Here is a 23,056-nt window from a genome sequence, read left to right as displayed (position 1 = left end):
AGGAACACAGGTGGGAGGATGGGTGCCAGGCTGCCCTGTGCCCACAGTGTGTGCTGGAGGATACTTTGGGCAGGACTGTGCCCAGCTCTGCTCCTGTGCCAACAACGGGACCTGCAGCCCTATCGATGGCTCCTGCCAGTGCTTTCCTGGATGGATTGGCAAGGACTGCTCACAGGGTAAGCTGCTGCCACCTGGGAATGCCCCTACCTGGGGTCAGGCCCAAAAATTCTCCCTTTGTTGCCCAAAACCTCTCTGTCCTGGTGCCTCCACTTCCAGGGATGAAATCTCCTTCTGCATGTAGGAATGAGCCCCATTTAGCTCTATAGCTAACATGATGGATTATTAGGATTGATCATTGGTATTAACTGCTGGTATCAAAGGTACTGATATTGTTGATAGTACCATTAATGCTATGAATTCTGAGACTTAACACTCCATTAGCACCTGCACAAGGAGCAGCCCGAGTTTGGATGGGGAAGAGGTGGTGCAACAGCATGCTCGAGTTTGGGAGTAGGGAAGTGAGATGAGGCCCGGGCAGCCACCTCAGGAGGGTGCAGTGCCCTCTGGGTGGCCCATGTGAATGATGTCCTTGAGGCTGTTCATGTAAAGTGCACCAATCTGATGTGAAGGGAACAGCCCCTTTCCAGAAGCCCCCAAACTAAGGACAGAGACCCTGTGGAGCTCCTTGTCTGATGGGTGAGACCTAGCCAGTACCCTTGGGGAGGTCCTAGTTAGATGGCTGAGGGAATTTCCATTCTGATGAGGAGACAGGCTCCATCATCAGGAGCTCACCAACTGAGAGAAGAGAGCTCCTGCCCTAGGAAAGTCCCCATTCTCATGGGGAAACACACACAGTACATACACGGTAAACCACAGTGTTTACCCGCATGCTCCAAATCAGTCCCCTGAGAGGGGAGGCTCGGGGGCCCTCAGAGTCCTGCTGAGTCAGTCATCAAAGACTTGGAGAGTGGGCAGAGAATCTGGGCTTAATGGGAATCCTGGGTAACTAAGCCAAGAAGTAAGTGCAGGAATTCTGGGAACAGTGCATGAAGCCCCTGAAAGCCAGGAAATGTCAGCCAGGTCCATCTTGGCATCTTGGCTCTGACATGTACTCCCCCTTCTTCTCCCTCTCCGTCTGCCCCTCTCTGCCTTCCCCTCACCCTCTGCATTTCACCGACATCCCAGCTTGCCCACCCGGGTTCTGGGGCCCCGCCTGCTTCCACGCATGCAGCTGCCACAACGGGGCGAGCTGCAGCGCCGAGGACGGGGCCTGCCACTGCACCCCTGGCTGGACTGGACTCTTCTGCACACAGCGTAAGCCCCACCTCCTGGCCTCCCAGCCACTTAGAATACCATGCTGCGGCCTACTGGCCACTGTGGGCATTGTCCAGACCAGCAGGGAGGGAGGAATGCAGGCAGCCCCAGGACTGGTGGTACCTGACTCCTGCCCCACGAGAACTGAGGAGCTCTGCAGGGGCAGCTCCAGACCTGACTGGATTCAGGGGATTGACAAGCCCAAAGTCCTGGAAGGTCAGGGCTGCAAGGTACTCCAGCAATCACCAAGACCAGACCTTCCTTGGACAGTGGGGCCCAGAGTGGGGAGGAGCAGCCTGTGTCCACACAGGAAGTAGACCCTAGCCTGACCTGTGGTTCCAAGGCCCCTCTGTCTTGGAAAGGCAACGATCACCTTGCCCCTACCACTTCAGCATGAAGATCCTGAGCAGGGAGACAACTCTGGTGCAGGGTCTCACTAGTCTTCATCCCATGCTCAGCAAAAAAAGAGACAGAAGACAGGTCTGGTTCCTGCTGTCCCCCTTGTCCCCACCCAGCAGCAACTCTCGTGACTGGAAATCCTGTTTCTCTAGGCTGCCCAGCAGCATTTTTTGGGAAGGACTGTGGGCGCGTATGCCAGTGTCAGAATGGCGCCAGCTGTGACCACATCAGTGGCAAGTGCACCTGCCGCACAGGCTTCACCGGGCAACACTGTGAGCAGAGTAAGCTGCCCTGACCCCTGATCCTGGGTGATGCTGCTGGGCCCTACCCTCCTGCAGAGGATGGCTCCCACTTCAAGGTCCACTCACTCAGGGCTCTGTACCCCTTGGTCCCTTGACTTTGGGGACAACTTCCAAGGAAAAATGCTGAGGAAGGTCATGCCTACATTATTGTTTGAAGAATTTCTCCCTTCAGTTGGTGGGGGCATTTAGGGCAGAGGTCATAGCAAGTAATGAGAGAATAGTGGGAGGCAGGATTTTTTTTTTATTATTCTTTAAAGTCCCTATGGCATTCAGATTAGGGCATGGCAGGTGGAAGATACTGCTTAAATGTGTTGCATGAGGAGGAAGTAGGGGTGAGTGGGCCCTGCTCACTCCTCCTCTGTCCCTGTGTCCCCCACTCAGTGCTATAAATGCTCCTCAACAGGAGCTAAGGGAATAGGCTTCACTCAGTGGGAGGCAAAACAGGCTTATTGCCATAGCTGTCTAAACATGGAAGGGGAGGGGTGGAGAGTGAGTGGGTCCTCTACCCTAACTCTTTGTGCCACACAGGATGTGCCCCAGGAACCTTTGGCTATGGGTGTCAGCAGCTATGTGAGTGCATGAACAACTCCACCTGTGACCATGTCACCGGCACCTGTTACTGCAGCCCTGGCTTCAAAGGAATCAGGTGTGACCAAGGTAATACACACGTGGCAGAGCCCCGGGGTCTGTGGAAAGGGCCCCATGGCAGCTCTAGGGAGATTCCAACTCGAACAGCTGGATTTGATGATACTTCCCTTTATTCACATTTGTGAGGACAGCAGGAATAGGGTGGGCTGCAGAGGCTCCAAGTGCTGAAGAGGCATAAGGAGCAGGCAGTCTCTCAGTCACAGCCTCCCTAGGCTCACCCTTGGCAAGTTTCCCATGAGCCAAGCAAGGGTAGCCACAAGCTAGTACTATGGAAAGGCCACCAGACCAAGTTAGAATATCTGCCAAGTTCTGGTTCTGCCTTACCCGCCAGGTGTCCTTGGGTAGGTTATTTGATTTTGCTAGGCCTGTTACTCCACATGCAAAGCGGGAAGAGTAGATTAATCATCTTCCCCCATGACACAAGGTTACTCTGAAGGCCGAGGAGCCCAAAGGGGCTCAACCTTGGTTCTAGCACTACAGTCGGATGACACCTCATAGGGCCTAAAGGGGATGGAGTCCCAGGGTCCAGTTGTGAGAATCACGTTGAGACAGTATGAGTAAGAGATTCAGCGGGGTGCCTGGCCCATAAGTGAACACTCCAATAAATGCTGGCTTTGTTATATAAAAGCCTTTATAATGTGCTGCAAACATGTTGGTTCTAGATGGGGGATGAAAATGGGCTCTCAATTATTCACATTACAGAAAAGGAGCCAAAAGACAGATTTCCGTTGCATTCTGAGGATAAATCACTGAGAACGATATTGCAGCACATTTACCTCCCTAGTGATGTTGGCCAGCTCAGTTCAGCCAGCAGCCAACAGTCAAGGAGAAGTCTAGACACTGTGGGCCTGGCAGGACAGCCTCCTAGACTAAGCATCAGCATGGAGGGTGGGGGCAGCCCTCACATATATAACCAAGAGGGGTCCTGCGGGCAGTCATCCTGGAAATAACAGCACAGTACTTAAGAGCCTTCCTTGCCAGTCTATCACTTGGTGCTCACGACTGGGGAGGGTGGGGTTATTGTCCCCATGTTACAAATGAGCAAACCAGGGACTCTGAGCCACACAATTAGGAAGCAGGGAGAGGAGCTGTGTTCAATTTTTCCTGACTCCGCCAATTATAGGTTATGTAATCTTGGGCACATTACCTAACCTTTTGATAAATTGGTTTTTTCATCTGTGAAAGGAAAATACTAATCCCTTCACAGGGCTGAAGAGTAAATGAATTAATATCTGTTAACTCATTTTTGGAACAGAGTAAAATAATATTTATTGTTTCACATCGACAGTCACAATTGCTCCTTGTCATGACCCTGAGACTCCATCCCCTTTAGGGATGAAGGCACAGTGAGGGCTGGGGGTAGTCACATAGGGACTCAGGAATCGGGCCAAAGCCAGAACCAGATCTCCTAACATTAGAGGGGTTACACGCATCTGAACCCAGGCCCAGGAGACCTGAAGCGCAAGAAGGCCAGCCCCAGGCTCAGGCCCTCCCTCTGCCCGCAGCTGCCCTCATGATGGAGGAGCTGAATCCCTACACCAAGATCAGCCCAGCACTGGGTGCAGAGCGGCACTCGGTGGGTGCTGTCACAGGCATCATGCTCCTGTTATTCCTCATTGTGGTGCTGCTGGGCCTATTTGCCTGGCATCGGCGGCGGCAGAAAGAGAAGGGCCGAGACCTGGCTCCCCGTGTCTCCTACACACCTGCCATGAGGATGACCAGCACCGACTACTCCCTCTCAGGTAAGGGCCATGCTCCTGGCCTCCCTCCTCTTCCCCTCCACACACACATACCCCAGGAATGGTTGTGCCTGTAGGGTTGGCTGCTGTGGCTGAATGTGGAAGCTCAGTCTCCCCTAGAGTGACAGTGGGGATGGGGAGCAGGAGCCTACCTAGAGAAGATATCTGGGGTTCCAAGGGAAAATTGTTTCCTGAGTCCCTAGCTCTGAGCAGCTGTGGTTGGGAGCCTCCTGCCATTTTCCCAGAGCTTCCCTATCCTTCTCACCAGCCTTCGGCCTCAGGAGCACCCACACTAACCAGTCACTTTCCTAAGCTCTCCAGAGGACTGTCTCCCCAACCTGATGCCTGTACCACCTCAGGAGGCTAGACCTTGGAGCCCAGTGCCCAGAGCTCATCCATTTCTGTTTCCCTGGTGAACGCCTCAGGACAACCCTCCTTCCCAGTTCCCAGTTAGGAGGGTCCTATTAGTACAGCGGAAGGGGACAGTACCTGACTTGGGAGGTCTGAAAGTTTGGACAATGTCCCTCTGGCAAGTGTGCCAGAGCCCAGTGCATCCATGAATGTGGTTAACAGCTCCAATAGGCATTTTATTTGGGAGTCTGAGTGGGGTCAAGATGGGGCTGCTGGGCGATATCCTTCCTTTCCCCTGAACCCTGGACTGCTGCCTTGGAAATACGAAAGGTTTTTTGCTTCATATTGGCTAAACAGTAGAGGCCAAAATGCTCTGAAATTGCCCTATAGTCCTGGGCTATGTGAGGCTGAGCCTGTCTGGGTGAGCACAAGGTGACAGCTCTCTCCAGGTAGCTCCATGGCACGTGGCTCATGGCTCATCTGCAGCCTCCTGCATCTTGTGCTTAGAAAACCCAGATCACTTCAGCCCATTCCTGCTAAGTGTTGCCTTCTGTATGTCCAGCTTCATGCTAGGCACTGCAGGATAGACAGAGGCAGGCCAGTGCACACCATGCCTTCAAGGAGCTCCTGGTCTACATGCCACACTACAGCCAAAGCAGACATCCCACACACAGATTTGGGGATTTTCTTCTATGACTATACTGAGAAGGCTGGCTAGGGTTTCCTATGCCATTCCTCTGGTATTCCCCAGCCCTATGGAGAGGTTCTGGAATCCTTAGGAGGGAAGAGCAGAGTCAGAAGTGAGGTTCTCTTTATGATCTCATTACCAGGATGTGACCCTAGAAGGAAGCAGGTGAGTCCAGCCCTAAATAGGGACTCAGGGACATGTAAGGCTATCAAAGCAAACATGCCCCATCCAGGCTCCAGTTGATAGTGCCTCCCCTTGGCACAGGTGAGCCTATCCTGCATTCTGCATGCTGCAGGGAGGACCAGCGTAAGGGAAGGAGCAAATCAGGCTCTCCAGATTTCAGTAGGAGTAGTGGATGCCAGGAAGCTTGGGGGATGGGGTACTTGCCTGTTTGTCTTTGCAGGGCTCTCTCAAGGCTCCCAGCGCAAGCATTAGTACTGGGGGTATCTCATGCCAGGGGCAGGGGTATGATGGTATGTGGCACCTTGTTCTCTTCCCAGATTTGTCTCAAAGTAGCAGCCATGCCCACTGCTTTTCCAATTCCAGCTACCACGCACTGGCATGTGGGGGGCCTGCCACCAGCCAGGCCAGCACTCTGGACAGGAACAGCCCCACCAAGGTACCGGGCCCCTGATTCCCCAGCCCCCACTCACTGCCCTCTCATTTAACCCTCACCTCTGCCCAGGAAGGAACTGCACGCCCCCCGCCACATGGAGGGTCCATGTAGAACTGACCACCAATACATTAAAAGCAACCTTGCAATCCGTGGTACACGTAAACACTCTGTGAGGCATGTAATGGAGCCAGCATGTTATGTGGAGTGCCGTGTAACCAACCCACAGCATCACTCAGTATAACATATACCCCTGTACCCTGTGTGTAACCAACTGGTACCAAGTCATGTAATCATGTATTTGCTTTATCACCTATAATCATGTAGACACTTTTGCCACATGTCAACACGTAATCAAAACACTAGACCACCTTGTAGGCTGGGCACAGTGGCTCACGCCTGTAATCCCAGCACTTTGGGAGGCCGAGGCAGGCGGATCACAAGGTCGAGATATTGAGACCATCCTGGCCAAGATGGTGAAACCCCATCTCTACTAAAAATACAAAAAATTAGCTGGGCATGGTGGCATACGCCTGTAGTCCCAGCTACTTGCGAGGCTGAGGCAGGAGGATCGCTTGAACCCAGGAGGTGGAGGCTGCCGTGAGCTGAGATCACGCCACTGCACTCCAGCCTGACGACAGAGCAAGACTCCACCTCAAAAAACAACAACAACAACTAGACCACCTACCACAAATCACTGCAGTATGCTACCAACACAATGTGTGCAAGTGGCATATTATAGAGTAACTACTGTTATTCAGATAACCACCTCACAATGTTTCTTTTATCTGAACCTATCCATTTCATCAGTACCCACTCATAACCGTTTGTTGCAGTCTGAATCAACAAGGGATGTGGAACCCAAACTTCAGCCATAGCCAATGTTCTGTGGACACTGAGTTCTGTAGGTCTTCATGGCAGGTGTGCACCCTTCTGGACAGGACCTTCCCTGACAGCTTCCAGCATAACCCTGGCTGTTGGCAAGATGTCCTCTTATAGTCAACAGGCCCTTGGGCAAGGATGTCTCAGCACCTATGTGTAGATAATACATAGGGAGCTCCCTTAATGTGCCCGGACCCATACCAGGCAGAGTGGGAAACAAGAAGTGAGGAAGAACAGCCCCCAAGGACAGGTCTGAGAGGCTCATGCTGCATACCTCTGGACACCCACCTGTGCCTGTGCCCATAGACACAAAACAGTGGGGAGCAGGGCCATGGTGGGAGTGGGAATCTCAGGACTCCTAGCTTCCCATAATATCCATTCAGGGACAAAAGCATGGCTTTCATAGTCCACGGCTATGCCCTAGAGATCTAGGAGTCCTTTCTTCCCTGTCTGTCCCATGGAGAATGACCATCAGCCTACAGACCTGGTCCAGCAATAGTAATATAGATACTATACAGCCTCAAGGGCAACCACTATCAAGCCAACACCCCAAGGCCACTCTCAGCCTCCACCCTCTTTTGGTAAGGGGCTGGAATTACTGCAGAGTAGCCAACTTGGTGACCCTCTGGGTCACCTCAGCCCAGGGGCCCAGAGTGGCTCTCTGTGGTTAACCAGTCTAACAGATAGGGCATCTGCAGCAGAGGCAGGCAGCTGTGATGACATGGAAAGGACACGGCACTGGGAACTGAGTTCCAGACACAGCTTTGTCACTGACTCGTGTGTGTTCATGAGCAAGGCACGCAAGTCAGGACTCAGGTCGCCATCTGTGAAATGAGGATAACCATCCTTGCCTCATATGAAGGGCAGCTGTGAAAATGCAGAGAATGGAAGGACTACAATATAAGCCTCAAGACACTCTGTTCTGAAGCTTTCCTTTGGTCGCAGGAAAAGGAAAATCTCACATTCAGCCCCAATCAGGATCAGGTGGCAGAGGTGACAGTGATATTGCAGGCAGCCTCAAGACTTCCCTCTGTGCTGGAGATGGCCTCATGTTGCAGCTGAGACATCACCAGAGGCCCCTCTCCTAAAGCTCAGCCCCACCCCCCAGCTAATCTGCTTCCTCTGTCAGGGCCAGCTTGGCTCAAGCTACCCCAGGAGGCCTGGGAACCCTACAACTTCAGCCCAACAGCTGGGGTGGGGTATGTTCTATTCCCACTAGCATCAACCACACCATGGTGGCCTGTCATGGAACACCTAGCTCGCCCTTTCTCTCAACGGCCTAGGACCCAGGTGGGTCAGGATTATTACAGGGTGTGTGCACTGAAGCTACGCAAAGTGAAGACTGGGGAGGGGTACCTGGGGCACTAGATATTAACTGGCTCTCCTACTCTCCAAACAGCTCAGTAACAAGTCCCTTGACAGAGACACAGCAGGCTGGACCCCCTACAGCTATGTGAACGTGTTAGGTCAGTAGTGGTGTGAGTCTGGTCCCCACCATCATGTCCCACCCTATTCTTCTTCCATATTGAGAAGCACCCAGCTTGAAGGGACAGGGTTATGAGTTCTGAACATGGTTTCCCCCAGGGAGAAATTTTGGCTCTCACAAGCAGATGAAGCCCAAGAATCCCTTTCCATTACTATATTAGGGCTAAGTCCCTGCTATGACCCAGGGACCATAAGGGAGAAAACCAGGGCCAGGGTGTAGGGATTCCAGATGGAAGCAAAAGACACACTCACCATCTGGATAGGAACCTCTGCTTGACCCAGGCCCTACCAAGGTGCTCCTTTCAAGGGCTTCTTCCCCCTGCCTCCTCCCTGGTGGAGGAGCACTAATTCCTGCAGAGGGAGGGAGGGAGGGAAGGAGAGGGGAAACAAGGCAGATGACCTTGGCTCTAACAGAGCCCCTGGCCCCGCTGGCCCTGGCCCCTCTGGATGCTATACACAGAGGCCCCCAAGTCCTCCCAGCCTGCCTCACCCTGACCCTGGCCCACTTGTGTACTTCCTACCCCCTTCCCCTGCTATACCAGGGCCCTGGGAATAATGGCTCCTCCCTGTCATTCCTCTCACTAGACTCCCATTTCCAGATCAGTGCCCTGGAGGCCAGGTACCCGCCCGAGGACTTCTACATTGAACTTAGACACCTCAGCCGCCCCGCTGAGCCACACTCACCAGGTCAGACCCCAGCCCTACCCTCCACCCCCTCATGCCAGACCAGACCCAGCACCTGCCCTAATCCCCATCCCTGCACCTTGACCCCCACCCTGTGGTCCCAGAACTCTCCCTTTTAAGCCCTCTTCCCTCCCAACATGTCTACCAGCTCAATCCCCTATCTAAAGATGGAAACCTGTCTGGATCTTCCCCATCACCCATTCTGTTCCCATAGTGAACGGTGGATGTGAACAAACAGGCTATTTAGGGTGGAGAAGATACAACAAAACTGCCCTCCCTACAGGCCACAAAATACAATCCTACACCTTTCAAAAATGACTTGGGGATGGCGACATCTTTGGGGTTCTCTGGGCCCTGTTGGAGTGGATAACAGGGAGTTAGCTCTCTGGCCAATAAAGTCCAATGTCTCCCAGAGACTCCAGAAACCCCAGTGGCCCAAGCCAAGCTTTCTCAAATCACAGGGTAGGGTTGTCAAACAGGGATCTGGAGAGGCTGGGGCAGGATGTATCAACCAACATCACCTGTACTCATGTACTGAGTACAGCCTGGGCTGAAATCTGGTGGCTTGGGAGACACACACACAAGAGACTTGGAAAGTTAGCCCTGATTATGGGAACATGTGGGTAGGAGTTACAGAAGGTATCATGGGAACAAGTGCAATGAATGAACAGAGAATGTGGCCTCCCTACAATGTGGCTCCTCTGGGGCACCCTGGGGCAGGGCCTTGGTATACCAGACAACTCTAGGCCTGACCTCAGGCTCTAGGTGGCTTCTAGAACTCTAAGGAAACTGAGCTGCTCTACCAATCCCTGCAGGTCCCTGGGTCCAGTAATACCAGGAAGGGTGAATGTTCTGAATTCATCTGCCCACTGAGCAGGCATGGGCTGCATGGACCCTGGGCCTATACTCAGGAGGCTGTGTTATTAGCTGTGGGTCCCCTGGACAGTATCTAGGGCATTTAATAACCCCACCAACTACAATCTCTCCCATTCCAGCATATACACACACACACAGCCCCACCACCACCACCCTGTATCTCTTTCTACAAGGGAGTATCCTCTGAACTAGGCCAGATTTCTCCCTGCTTTACAGATCTCACTCTTCAACTAGCGTAGCCAGAGCGCCATGCGCTGGCATTTGTCTTACACCCAGGCAGGCTGGTATCCAGTGAGAGAGAATACTTGGAGAGATCTGGGCTCTAACTGTAACTCAGCTTCTCACTTGCTAGTGTGGTTTTGGACAAGCCACTGTTGCTCTTTGGGCCTGTTCCCTGTTCTGTAAAAAGGAAAAGTTAATACCCTAGCCAGCTTCCCTCAGGAAGGGCAAAGGAAGCCCTTGTCTGGCATAAAGTGCTGAACTAATGCCAGCATATAGGCAGTTGCAGGCATGATTCTGAAGGACACAGGTACCTATAAGCCTCTCAGAAAAAACAGCAAATTTGAGGCTGGGTACGGTGGCTCACGTCTGTAATCCCAGCACTTTGGGAGGCTGAGGCAGGCAGATCACGTGACGTCAGGAGTTCAAGACCAGCCTGGCCAACATGGTAAAACCCCATCTGTTAAAAATACAAAAAAATTAGCTGGGAGTGGTGGTGCATGCCTGTAGTCCCAGCTACTCAGGAGGTTGAGACAGGAGAATCGATTGAACCTGGAAGGTGGAGGTTGTAGTGAACAGAGATTGCGCCACTGCACTCCAGCCTGGGTGACACAGCGAGACTCCATCTCAAAAAAAAAGAAAAAAAGAAAAATAGCAAACTTAAAAGAAAAACTTGGGCCTGGTTCTGCCATATCTCTCAGTAATATGTGGAACGTAGGCAGATAGGAGTAGACGCTTTCAAATTCAACATGGGAACTCTACGTAGAGGAGCGATAGCAACAGGGTGGTCTTCAGTGTCAGAAACTGGGAAGAGTCAAGGAGAGTCAAACTGTATTTTAGTAAGTACTTGCTGCAGGCCTTGCTTGGTGCTGTGTCCTCAGTTAAAAGCTAGAAGAAAAAATTGCTCTGACTTTGAGCCAGAGTCATTACTGTCCCAACCTAGAAATGCCAAACAATTTCTTTTCTGGGATCACCAGCAGCAAAGAACCCAAGCTTAGTCCCTGAAGCCTCTGGCTGAGGCTCAGGGCCATCATGCATTGTTGGAGCCTAGGAAAAAACTGACAGCCGAAAGGTAGAAAGAAATCCTTGGGGCTGAAAACACTGGTAATACTTTTCAAAAACAATTCTACATTATGTGCAAATGGCACACCCCAAAAAATGAGTAACTAAGAGAACTGGCTATGGGAGGGAATGTCTGTACATCCTACAAAGATGACTAATCAAGAACCTCAGCCACCTGTCTCCCTCTGTTTCTCTCTGGCTACCCTCAGATAAGCCTTGGATCCAGGAGAGGACAGACAGGACCAGAGCTGAGAGGTGATAAATACTGTCTTCAAACCCATGCCAAATTCCAACAGAACTGTGATTTGTAATGTCATACAACTTTCCCTCAAGCCAAGAACTGGTTCTGCTTCATTCCTTATCCTATACCCTTGGAGCCTGGAGTTTCACCTGCAGGGAATGGCATCAGAACAGCCTTTTATTCCTTCCTGAAAGACACTCCCCTAGGGTGAAGGTTAAAGGGAAGGAGTGCTGAATATGCCGGGGGTCGCTGTAGCTTATGAGCCTTTTAATAATTCCTATAATCAAAACAATTTCAGATGGATTAAACCCAGAATCATTTATCAAAACAATTTCAGGTAGATTAAACCCCCAGAATCATTTTCTAGCAATAAACAACTATTTATTTTCTGGGTAGGGGAGAAGGGGGGGGAAAAGCAAGAAAAGAAAGAAGAACACAAGCAGTCTAAGTAAACCTCACCCCCATATTTTCTTTCCTTACATGTTATTTTTACACAGGTGCTTGTGGAATGGATAGACGTCAGAACACATACATTATGGACAAAGGCTTCAAAGGTAGAGTATCCAATCCTGCTGTCTTATTACAGAGGGCTTAGCAAGATAAAGAGTGCAGATCTGAAATGGCCAGGAATTCCACTTGAGACAAACTGTGTGTGCCTGCCCCCCACAGAAGGTTAAAAGACCACAGGGCCTGGGGCTGTTGGGTAGCTGTGCCCAGGAGGAGCAATCAATCATAATAATAATGAATTCATCTTTCGATTTCAGTTGCACCTGCTTAGCAAATGCTTGTGGGTTTTTTATAGATGCCAACTAAATGTCTTCGGAAATGTAAAGCGTCATTATCCAACCAATTAGTACGAGTTAAATTGATTATAAAATCTGAAATAAAGTTGATCTACCTGCCCCAGAGGCCTCCTGTCGTTGCACTAGCAAGGAATGCCACCCTGCACCTGCTGGCTTTCTGGGGGCACAAGGAATGAAAATGATACGCAGTGTTAATATTGTATGGCACTCCAACCTCAAGAGATCTCTGCCTCCAAGAGCAGAGAAGCCAAGACAAATCCCTAACACATGGGAACTGCAAGTTGGATCATCCCTCTAGGAAGTCTACAGGTGAAGCCAAAGATGAAAGGTCAGGTCCTGCCCTAGGTTTAAATGCCGGAATGTGTGAAATAGGGGGCTTTGGAACTCTGTCACTTGCCACTCTGTTGCTCATTAACTGTGACCTTAGACTGGACTGTGAGCTTTCCAAGGCTCAGTTTCCTCATCTGCAAGGTTGGGATAATTTTGCCTGTCCTATTGTCTAATGCCTGTCCTACTGTCTAACAAGGTTATCATGAGTAACCAATAAAATCACCAATGGGAAGTGTTTTTTGCATACTGTAAAGGTGGTACTAATGTAATGGGGCTATTCTTTTGTCTAGGAGGTCTATTTAAAACAGCTTAAGGCCGGGCACAGTGGCTCACACCTGTGATCTCAGCACTTTGAGAGGCCGAGGCAGGTGGATCACTTAAGGTCAGGAGTTCAAGACCAGCCTGGCCAACATGGCAAAACCCTGTCTCTACTAAACATACAAAAATTAGCCAGACATGGTGGCACACACCTGTAATCCCAGCTACTTGGGAGGCTGAGGCACAAGAATTGCTTGAAGCCGGGAGGCAAAGGTTGCAGTGAACCCAGATCGTGCCACTGCACTCCAGCCTGGGCAACAGAACAAGACTCTGTCTCAGAAAAAAGCGCTTAAGCCAAACAGATATGACAGCAGAGGTCCCAATGCATATCCTAAATCTAACAGTGTACCAGAATCACCTGGAAAGCTTATTAAAAATACAGATATTCACACCCCATCTCCTCAAAACTCTGATGCAAATCTAGAGTGGGGCCCTGGAATCTGCATGTGTGAAGAGCACCCTCAGGGTACCCTTATGCAGCTTATTCCCCAAACACTGGTCTAGACTGACCCAGATGTCCCTGATTACCGTTCTAGTCTTTCAGACCTAGTTTTACATACACCAAGACACAACCATTCCCTAACCAAGAACAGCTAGTCGTCTACAGTCCTTTTGGGGAGATGATTAGATGTGGGGTGAGCTCAGGGTAGGGGATGGTGGTAAGTACTGCATTCTGAACAAGACAGCGATAAGGCTGAGTCACTATCGGCCTTTGTTAGGATATACACAGCCCAAGAGAACTGTCTGAGGACAAAAGGTCATCCCCAGCCAGCCAACAGACATTACTCCCTTGGAAGCATTATTTTGGCAATTTTCTGTGTGTTTTGACTTAAACCATCCAAATGAGGAACAGTAGGTAAGGCTGAAAACAAAGAACAGTTCTATTTCGTGACTATGACCTGGCACCTCAGTTTCTTTCTCAAAAAGGTATAAGGATTGGGCAGAAAGCTCTCTAAGGGCCTTTCTAGCTGAAGAACACGCATGACTCAAGCATGAATAAACTCAGGACCAGAAACCCCAATAACTGAACACACAACTTTCCTATGCACTGTGTTGTCCTGTACATTGATTAGGGTGGTTACTTTCAGATTCGCAATCATACATGTAAAACAAAGCTCAGGAAAGCAGTGTCTCTGCCTCAGCATACATTTCATTACTATTGTGTAGAATCATATATCTGACCTCTGAGTGCAGGCGAGGGCTCAGCAGGCAGCCAGCCAGATCTTATTTTACCACTCTGGCTACAATCATCCTTTAAAAAGAAAAGAGAGCTATGTAAGCAAATGTACCAGCAGGTGTTGGGGACCAATACATCAGAATAAGAGAACTGAAAAAGAGGAAAATATGATGTCACAGTTCAGAACTTTATAACAATACTTACCAAAACATGGAATAAATCCCACTAATTGGCTAACGCCCCCCGAAATAAACACTTAATAAGCTAGTCTAGCACAAATGAAACTAGTTCCTAAAACTACTGGGCCAAACCAAATCAGAACTACTAAGAATTAAGAGTCTCAGTGTTCTCTGAACTCAGTGGGAAAAAGCCCTAGCCTAGGAGTTAAGGAATGTGGGTTGTAGTCCTAGTTCTTGCTGTATGGTGCTGACCAGGTCACAGCACTGTTTTCTGGGTCTTGGTTTCTTCCACTATAAAACGATGGGGCTGTACTAACAGCATCTCTGAGGCCCTTTCAAGCTCTGACATTCCAAAAGCCTTAGTCAATGCCTGCCCTTTCCCCTGTTACTTACTGAAGAACTCCACTCACTGTCATCCCGGAGGTTAAGGGAGACCACTTACACTGCTCAACACCCTTCTATTTCCCCTTCTCCCCCTAGCACAGTGATTCTGCAACAAACTGCCTCGTGTTCAATTCCTTGTCAGCCATTTCAAATTGCTATTCTCCATCGCCTTTATGATGCTGGAATCCTTGAGCCCACTGTTGCTGCCACTTTCCCCACCTGTGTGCTCGTTCCCATCTAACTTCCAAGTCTGTCTTTGCGTAAACTTGGGCTCTTAGGTAGTTAGGAGCCCAATGACATCCTGAAGATTACTTTTTAAAGCCAGTGTTCTGACCCCAAGACCTCCTCCTCCTATCTCTCAATCAAGAGAAGGATGCTAATTTATGGCCCAGGAAGAGAAGAGGCAGTGTGGCCTTCTATTAATAGTAGCAAGCCAAGAAGCAAGAGATGGATATTCGGTGCCTGGGTTTTTCCCTGACAGTTAAGTTGGGCCTTAGTGGAGGTTAGCATGCACCTAGAAGCCAAGGTGGGCTCAGATCCCACACACAAGGTGGCCCTGGAAAGTCACTGCCTCTCTCTAGATTTGATGCTCCCTTTATAAAATGAAAATGTTTAGTTCATCTCAGAAGCCCCCTCTGTCTCTGACAGTGTATGACTATGTGGGGAGGCAGGAACCAGATGAGACCAAATGCCAGGGCATTACAGGACCAAGCCGCCAATCCTGATGCAAATGACAAGCCTTGGAGGAGTGACTCCCAGAGCTTGGGTAGCCTGGGTTGATGCTTCCTCTTTCTTTGCAAAATGCCCTGAAGGGCTGGGACTGGGACAGGGGTGGGGCTATGAAAGGATGAGGAAGTATCTAAGAGCAGCTGGTTATTCTTCCACTCAACCCTGCCCTCCCCTCTTGCAGGCAGGTGGATGACTCAGCTGGAGAACAAAGTGGCTTCCTGAGGTGGAGTTTCCAGCTTGCCCAGCCCTTCCCCATTCTCCAGTCCCAGTAGAGATGGGGTACAGAAGAGTCCATAATTCAACACCCTTTTCTCACCACCCAGCCAACACATACATGCACTGCTCCATCCTCTGCTCCTGTATGGAAGATACTTCCCCCTGAGCTTAGCCCCTCCCCACAGACATCAACTTCTCTTTTATCCATTTAGGATCATCCCCTGCTCCAGAGCCAACAATTGATTCCCCAAAACTTTAAAGTAGCCCCGACTTTTCTGGTGAAAATGAGAAGAGGCACTATCAACTGGCCGAGGTTCTTTTAGGCATTGAACTTCAAGGCTCTCCTACTGCCCTAACTCAGTCATGGGATATCCACAAAAAACTTAAGAGCTTAGCCTTTTTCTCTCAGCTGGGCTTAGCCCCATAGATGAAAGACATTCCTTGTTAAGGGTAAGGTGTAGCTGCTGCAGATACAGTTTGCCTTTAGAGATATGGACAGGAGCCCTGGATAACAAGACACGTAGTGAGGGAAAACATCTTGATTGGTATCAAGAGAAGACAGGGGTTGAGTCCTGACTAAACTATTTACTAACATTAGGAATTATATTAGCAAATTTTCTGAGCTTCAGATTCCTCATTCTAAAGTAGAAACAACAGTCCTTTCTGCCCAGCCCTATTCACGATGTAACAAGTTTCAAATGACCTAATTGGAATGAAGACTATACGTGCTACATAAAGTGGTTATTCCTCACATGTTAGAAAATATGCAGTTGAGGCAGCTGCAATAGCTTTTCTTTAAATACTACTAGTCCTCAGCTTCCAAACCAGAAGCTCTGTGCCTTACTGCCTTACTCCTTGACTGGTGAGTTCAGAGTAAGGTGGAGCTGCTGCAGATACAGTTTGCCTTTAGAGATAAGGACAGGAGCACTGGATAACAAGACACGTAGTGAGGGAAAACATCTTGATTGGTATCAACTAAGAGACAATAGGGGTTCAACTACTTACTAACATTAGGAATTATACTAGCAAATTTTCTGAGCTTCAGATTCCTCATTCTGAAGTAGTAATAGTCCTTTCTGCACAGCCCTATTCATTATGTAACAAGTTTCAAATGACCTAATTGGAATGAAGACTATAATTGCTACATAAAGTGGTTATTCATCACGTTAGAAAATATGCAGTTGAGGCAGGTGCAATAGCCTTTCTTTAAATACTACTAGTCCTCAGCTTCCAAACCAGAAGCTCTGTGCCTTATTGCCTTACTCCTTGGCTGGTGAGTTCAGAGAACCCAAAGTGGGACAGATGGGCCATGCTGGGGTTCTTGGACTTACCACCACTTCCTTGTACTAAAAAACTAAGTACCCTCTAAGGGGCAAATTTATGTGGTTTGGGCAGGTCACAGTCAAGGGTCCAAGCAGCTATGTAGAAATGAAGTCACCTGTGCACATGGGGTCTCCATACACAGATGTGCCATCCTTGTCGACATCTAATAAAAATATATATGAAGTTGGTAGGTGTCTCAAATAAGTAACTTAGTGAAATCAGGGCACTAGTGCAGCATTTGAAATAAAAGTCAACCAGCATCTGGGCCTATATCTGGCCTCCCTTTAGGCCTTGCTGGTGCTAGCTGAGATCGTTCAGTGTCTCGCAAGGATGTTTTCTCCTTCTCTCTAGAGTCATATGCTAAAGAGGCCACAATCTTAAGACGTGACTAAAGCCAATATCCCTCTCTACTTCTGGGCTAAATTGTGATGGAAAATGCTGAGCCTGGTTCTACAGAGTTTGCTCTGCTAGTGATAAGCAGTGTGATCCTGAGGAAGTCAATTTCCACTCTAAATCTCATAAGCAATGACTTCCTCAATAAGCAATGAGAGGAGAAGGAGAGAGAGAATTATTGCTCTACCTATACCACAGAGTGTTGTGTGAACACTTGAAGGAACTAATGGCTGAACATATTTTTGTACAAGATTGAGGAAATACTATCTGCTGAAACAAACATCAACAGAATGGACATCTACTTTAACAGAAAAGTAAATACTCTTCCAACCAGTTGCCTTTTATGGGAGATAAGACTACTTGTGGTGGCACACATCTAGCTACTTCAGCCATACGGAGTGTTCTGCTTTCAGGGTCCCAAGGTACATCTAAGACATCCATTGAGTTACATTATCACTTTCACTTTTTACCATTTTCATTACTCTCACAAATTGGAGACAGCATAAATAGCAGCCCAAAATGTAAACTGTGGTAGTTCTAGTGACAGATCATCCAAGAATTTCACCATCTGCTACCTTTCACAGAAATTTAGTGCTGAGACGCCTTTTAGATCACTTCTATCAACTCAAGCAGCTCAGTGCTTGTGTCTAGATCCCTTGTCTAGCAGAGCTTCACAGAAGAAGGTCAGAGCTGCTAGATTAGAGTTTACTGCTCTTTCCAGGCAAATCCTGCCTTGCCTGGGACTATCTGCAGGAGTCAGTGATCTTCCCCAAACAGAGAATGGTACAGAGGCTGAAAGAGGGAATCCCCTTTCCTTCCGTAACTCCCAGTCACTAAAGAACCCATCTTCCTCCAGTGAAACTACAGTACCTCATTTCATATTTGGAAACCAGCCTGCATCCTTTTGTACTCTGAAGTCTCGGGGATGGTACAACTATACAACTGAGAGGTGGCAGGAAAGGAAGCATGAGCTCTAGTATCAGAAAGATACTGCTGAAATAGGTTTCAGTTAGCATTGACAAGAACAGGGGGGTAAGCAACCCAAGAACACGTTACAGGCTTGCTAGAAAACAGGAACTTTCCAAAGGCTAGCTTAAGACTGACGTGCTTTTTACACCTCAATTACACTTCAGTCTACCCTATTCTGATGAGCTCCTGGAGGGCAGGGATACTGCTAAGAGTCTGCCACTTATAGGCTGTCAAATTGCTGACATCTGTGCTAAAACATGCATGCCTACTTCTTCTGAACCTAAGCTTCTCAGTCATTGAAAACAATTCAAGTCAGGTGTGGTGGCACGTACCGATAATACCAGCTACTCAGGAGGCTGAGGCGGGAGAATCACTTAAGCCCAGGAGTTTGAGACCAGCCTAGGCAACATCTCAAAAAAGAAGAATTCACAAGAATATCATCACAGAAAATGCACAGGCCAAGGAGTCCAAAGGCATGGATTCAATTCTTGGCACTGCCATTCACTAGCTGTGTGACTTTAGCTAAGTCACTTCATATCTCTGAGCCTTGATCTCATAAAATGCAACTATCAGCAACCCTTGCAGGAATTTACAAAAATTAAATACATGTCAAAGCATATTATGCATATCTTGAATTAATACCCAACTACTAAAAACAAAAATGTTCCTATCCTCCAAAAACATAAGTTTCTTTGGAAAAAGAACTCTGCCTACCTGGGAGAGCACTTCTCAGCACATTTAATAAGTAAATAAATCTTGGATTATCCTGGCTTTTCCAGCTCTAAGATCCTGAAGGCACATAAACTCAACTGCAGTCTGCTTCTGATATTAACATGAAGACTTGTATTCTTGCTTGTCCTAAGAAATGTCTCTTGCCTTGCAGATTACATGAAAGAATCCGTGTGCAGTTCTAGTACTTGTTCCTTGAATAGCAGTGAAAACCCTTACGCCACAATTAAGGACCCACCCATCCTCACCTGCAAGCTTCCAGAAAGCAGCTATGTAGAAATGAAGTCGCCTGTGCACATGGGGTCTCCGTACACAGATGTGCCATCCTTGTCGACATCTAATAAAAATATATATGAAGTTGGTAGGTGTCTCAAATAAGTAACTTAGTGAAATCAGGGCAATAGTGCAGCATTTGAAGTAAAAGCAAGCCCTCTCCACTCACCCCACCTTGACCACACATCCTTCTTTTGTTGCTTTTAAAGGCATCTCTAAGGTGAACTGTCTTTCCTAGGACTACCCTCCTAGCTAATGCAGGAAGTCAAATTATTGTACCAACTCTGCTTTAAAAAACACCAGGACTAATATGAAACAAATACTGGGGGTGGGAAATGGGCACATGCACGTGCACGCGCGCACACACACACACAGATTGTTGATACAAATCTCATTTTAAAAAAGAAAGCAATCAGAGACATCAACAAGTCTCTAAATCACCTTCTACCTTCTCCCAGTTTATGTCCCTGGGCTCACTGGTAAGACTCCTACCTCTAGGATATTTTAAATCCTTTGGTGTTGATGAGAGGCTTGGATGTTGACAGCACATTCACTTAGTTTTCCATCTCCTGAGCAAGCCTCAGTCCTAACCCTCATGTATTTGCCATAGATTTATAAATCCCTGGCTCCTTTCCCCAAGTTAAGTAGAACTCTCTTCCTCTCCAACAAGGCAACCAAAGCTAATCTGTTCTCTGAACTCATTTTTCACTATATTTCTTAGAGCCCACAGTCAGTGTGGTCCAAGAAGGTTGCGGTCATAACTCCAGCTATATCCAGAATGCATACGACCTACCTAGGAACAGCCATATTCCTGGTCATTATGACCTCCTCCCAGTAAGACAGAGCCCTGCCAATGGGCCGTCCCAGGACAAGCAATCTTAAGAGGGATAAGCTTCTCTCTTGCAGTGTGCTCTACTGAATATTCTGACTCTGAAAGAAGACAGTCCCTTGACTTGAAGTAATGGTACAGACTGGCTCCAGCTGCATGTTAGTTATTACGTTCACCTGGAACTAAAGAAGAGCGTCCAGGTGGGACTGGGATAATTGTTCAAGGAATTGTGTTCTCAAAGGCAAATCCTATCACCCACTCAGCCCCAAATGCCCTGGATTATATGATTTTTAAAACATTTTAAGATACAGCTACTCATCAACATCAGCTAAATATAGCTGATATATATATATATATTTATCTGAAACGTGATATTTTAAAAACATGTAGGTTTAACAAACCTTCCTAGGACAAAAAGGAGACTGGGGAGGGAAGAGGATTACTTTAAAGCACCTGAAACGTATATGTACTTTTGGTTGCTGTTACCATCAACATCTGTTTTATTACCGAAGACAATTAGTACACAGACATGAACTGTTCTTAAACAGAACAGTCTTAAAATGTCTGTACATATCTGTCTGGTCCATCAAATTACAACAGCCAAGATTACAGAATCTATATAGTCTAATGCTGACAACTTCTATTTTAAAAAACAAGACTTTACTTTCTTCTGCCCCCTAAGTGATAGGTTTAAACACACAGAGACACACACACACGTTTCCAAAGTGCAGCAGTGTCTCTTTCAGTCTACAATAAGATTCCTAGGGCAGCTTTATCAAATTTTGCCAATTCAAAGTTCAAGGACATTACAAGTTAGTCCTGGCTTTGTCATATCTACTTAGTCCATCCGACACCTGAATCATTCCATGTAAAACAGAGCTCTAAGATGATCCTTTAAGCAAGCAGTCATAGACTGGTCGGGATTAAGTAAAAGACGGCTAGTTGGCCTCCTCATTTTATTTGGTCAGCATCCCTTGACTCAAGAGTACTTGCTTTCAAGTTCTTCATAAATCTTGAGATTGACGTAGTATGAAACCTAAAAGTATACAGGAAATTGGACAAATGTGGATACAGCAAGTTTACACTGCTTAAAGTACATTATGCTTTTTAATGGAACTAAATGATCAAAAAAAGAATGGACTGTAACCAGTTGCTGTAACGTGATGTAAAAACGTTACTGTAAACAGCATGAGGATATGAAGTCCTTCCACCTTCTATCTTAAAACTACTACTTACTGAGCTAGCCCAATATGCATTACAATGAGCTAATGCTCCAGATCCCAGTATTCAGATGTGTCTATACCTTCCACTATGAACACAGATAAACTGAGGCTCAGATAAGTCCAAATGAAATGAAATCAACTCCCAAGCCCTAAAGAGAACCTTCTCACAAGAATTAAAAACAAAAAGGGCAAACCTAGGAAGCTAACGGCTACTCCTGTACCACTCTATTCACTGGTACAGTCCAGCCAGTAAAAAACACTTCCAAAAAGATACACAGAAGAGGAACTAAATGACTGCGAAGCTGGAATACTGCTACAGGAAGTATGAGAGTTCTGAAACCCTTGATAGAAACTGGAAGCCTGCCATGGAACACAATACTTTGGGCAATAATCAGAAAAAGCAAAAAAATAAATAAATGAGTACATCTCCCCTTCCCACATCACTCAAGGCATAAGCAGATTTTACTGTTAGAGGAAAATATGTAATACTTACATGAATGTTGCATGTGTGCATGGGAGCAACTGAGTAGCAATAGTAAATTTACTTTCCAAAAAAGCCTTATTAAAATATAAATATTAGAAAATTACTTTGGAGACCCAAGTAAATATTTCTCATACATATGTAGAAAGAAATATAGGTAAGCAGCTTACCTCAGTATTTCAGGGCAGCAAGTGTTTGTGAAGCAAGGATGAGCAGCATGAAGATGTCAGATCAGCAAGGAGAAACTTCAACTCAATCCCAGGTTTTCTCTTCTTCCCTTATCCTGCATGTACAATAACTGCTGCCTGGCAAACTGCAAACAAGCAGCATCACTCAAGTTTGAAGTTTCGCCGCTTTTGTCAACTATCCTCTGGGCAAAGGTATTCAGCAAGAGGTGGAATGGCTAGACACTGAATCAAGAGATTTCAGTGTTACTCTGGTCAAGTTAGTCGCCCTCTCTGGGCTCCCTTTTTTCCTATGCATAAAAAGGGGAGAAGCAGAGAGTGGGAAGACAGCTCTACTAACCCTTCAGCTCTAGCAGTCCATGACTTTTTAAGGAAATGTAATACAAGTCAAACCAGGCAATACAGAGGAGAAGGGAAAGGCAGAGGGTGTGATTATGGTGACAATAGCTGCCTTCCCCTATCGAACAGTTATCAGTAAAAGACATTTCAATCTTACAAAGCAACTGTTAGAAACTTCTGTCTAACACCATCACAAATAGGTTCATGGTCAGCCTAAACATGTATACTGTGCATTTTATGGGTGACTTTGAAAGATCTGTTCAATTATTTTTCAGAAACTAAATTTTCAAAAAATTAATATGTGTACAATTAAAATGAATGAAAGAAAAACCATTATTGTACAGAGGTATTAATGAGACTATGAAACGGCAATACTTTTTTAAATCACAGATTTGTAATATATGTTCACTGTGCAGAGGGATTGTACCTTGTACAAAATAAAACAAATTTCTCAAACTAATTTAACAAGAATGCCTACTGTTGTGTTGCAAATGGAAAACGTGCTTATAATCTACACCTTAAGTTTAAGGGTAGAACTAACCTACATCCTGCTTGGGCACTTTGAACACCTGGAAGAATGAAAATTATTCTAGTAGATGTTTGAAAATAAGTGAAAAACTTGTATCAAATTTTTGATAGACGAGTCTCTTTCTTTAAAGTAATAAATGTGAGC

The 23,056-nt window shown here is 47.2% G+C and overlaps 1 protein-coding gene across 23 annotated transcripts in view, besides 4 other annotated features; it reads left to right on the top strand.

Annotated features, from left to right (window-relative positions):
- The window catches only part of MEGF11 (multiple EGF like domains 11), a 358,452-nt gene extending 335,609 nt beyond the window's left edge, over window positions 1-22,843 (top strand). For 5 of the 23 annotated variants that reach the window (NR_169557.1, NM_001385028.1, XM_047433165.1 and 2 more), the window contains 11 exons: window positions 48-176; window positions 1,186-1,314; window positions 1,866-1,994; window positions 2,544-2,672; window positions 4,169-4,405; window positions 5,942-6,060; window positions 8,336-8,402; window positions 9,007-9,108; window positions 12,001-12,057; window positions 19,208-19,414; window positions 20,048-22,843. Coding sequence is in view for 18 of the 23 variants with exons in the window: in NM_001385028.1 (NP_001371957.1) it covers window positions 48-176; window positions 1,186-1,314; window positions 1,866-1,994; window positions 2,544-2,672; window positions 4,169-4,405; window positions 5,942-6,060; window positions 8,336-8,402; window positions 9,007-9,108; window positions 12,001-12,057; window positions 19,208-19,414; window positions 20,048-20,208 (1,466 nt within the window). In the remaining 5 variants the exon portion in view is untranslated. Of the gene's footprint in view, window positions 1-47; window positions 177-1,185; window positions 1,315-1,865; window positions 1,995-2,543; window positions 2,673-4,168; window positions 4,406-5,941; window positions 6,061-8,335; window positions 8,403-9,006; window positions 9,109-12,000; window positions 12,058-12,267; window positions 12,869-19,207 lie in introns of those variants that run through there. The other 18 variants (NM_001385030.1, NM_001385031.1, NM_032445.3 and 15 more) reach the window with 12 other exon arrangements.
- Window positions 14,688-15,479: an enhancer, noted in NCBI's record as "H3K27ac hESC enhancer chr15:66195001-66195792 (GRCh37/hg19 assembly coordinates)". NCBI's record gives its function as "activates a minimal SCP1, AML or CMV promoter by ChIP-STARR-seq in naive H9 embryonic stem cells {active_cell/tissue: H9 hESC(naive)}" and the evidence as "EXISTENCE:reporter gene assay evidence [ECO:0000049][PMID:30033119]".
- Window positions 15,482-15,646: a silencer, noted in NCBI's record as "fragment chr15:66194834-66194998 (GRCh37/hg19 assembly coordinates)". NCBI's record gives its function as "represses an EF-1alpha promoter that drives an FKBP-Casp9 reporter gene in an ReSE screen in K562 erythroleukemia cells {active_cell/tissue: K562}" and the evidence as "EXISTENCE:reporter gene assay evidence [ECO:0000049][PMID:32094911]".
- Window positions 15,482-15,785: a biological region, named in NCBI's record as "ReSE screen-validated silencer GRCh37_chr15:66194834-66194998".
- Window positions 15,566-15,785: an enhancer, noted in NCBI's record as "active region_9610". NCBI's record gives its function as "activates an Ori minimal core promoter by ATAC-STARR-seq in GM12878 lymphoblastoid cells {active_cell/tissue: GM12878}" and the evidence as "EXISTENCE:reporter gene assay evidence [ECO:0000049][PMID:35858748]".
- Window positions 22,844-23,056: the final 213 nt, after the last annotated feature.

Source organism: Homo sapiens, chromosome 15 (assembly GCF_000001405.40).
Source record: "Homo sapiens chromosome 15, GRCh38.p14 Primary Assembly".
Taxonomy (NCBI): domain Eukaryota; kingdom Metazoa; phylum Chordata; class Mammalia; order Primates; family Hominidae; genus Homo; species Homo sapiens.
This window is presented reverse-complemented; position numbering and strand designations above follow the sequence as displayed.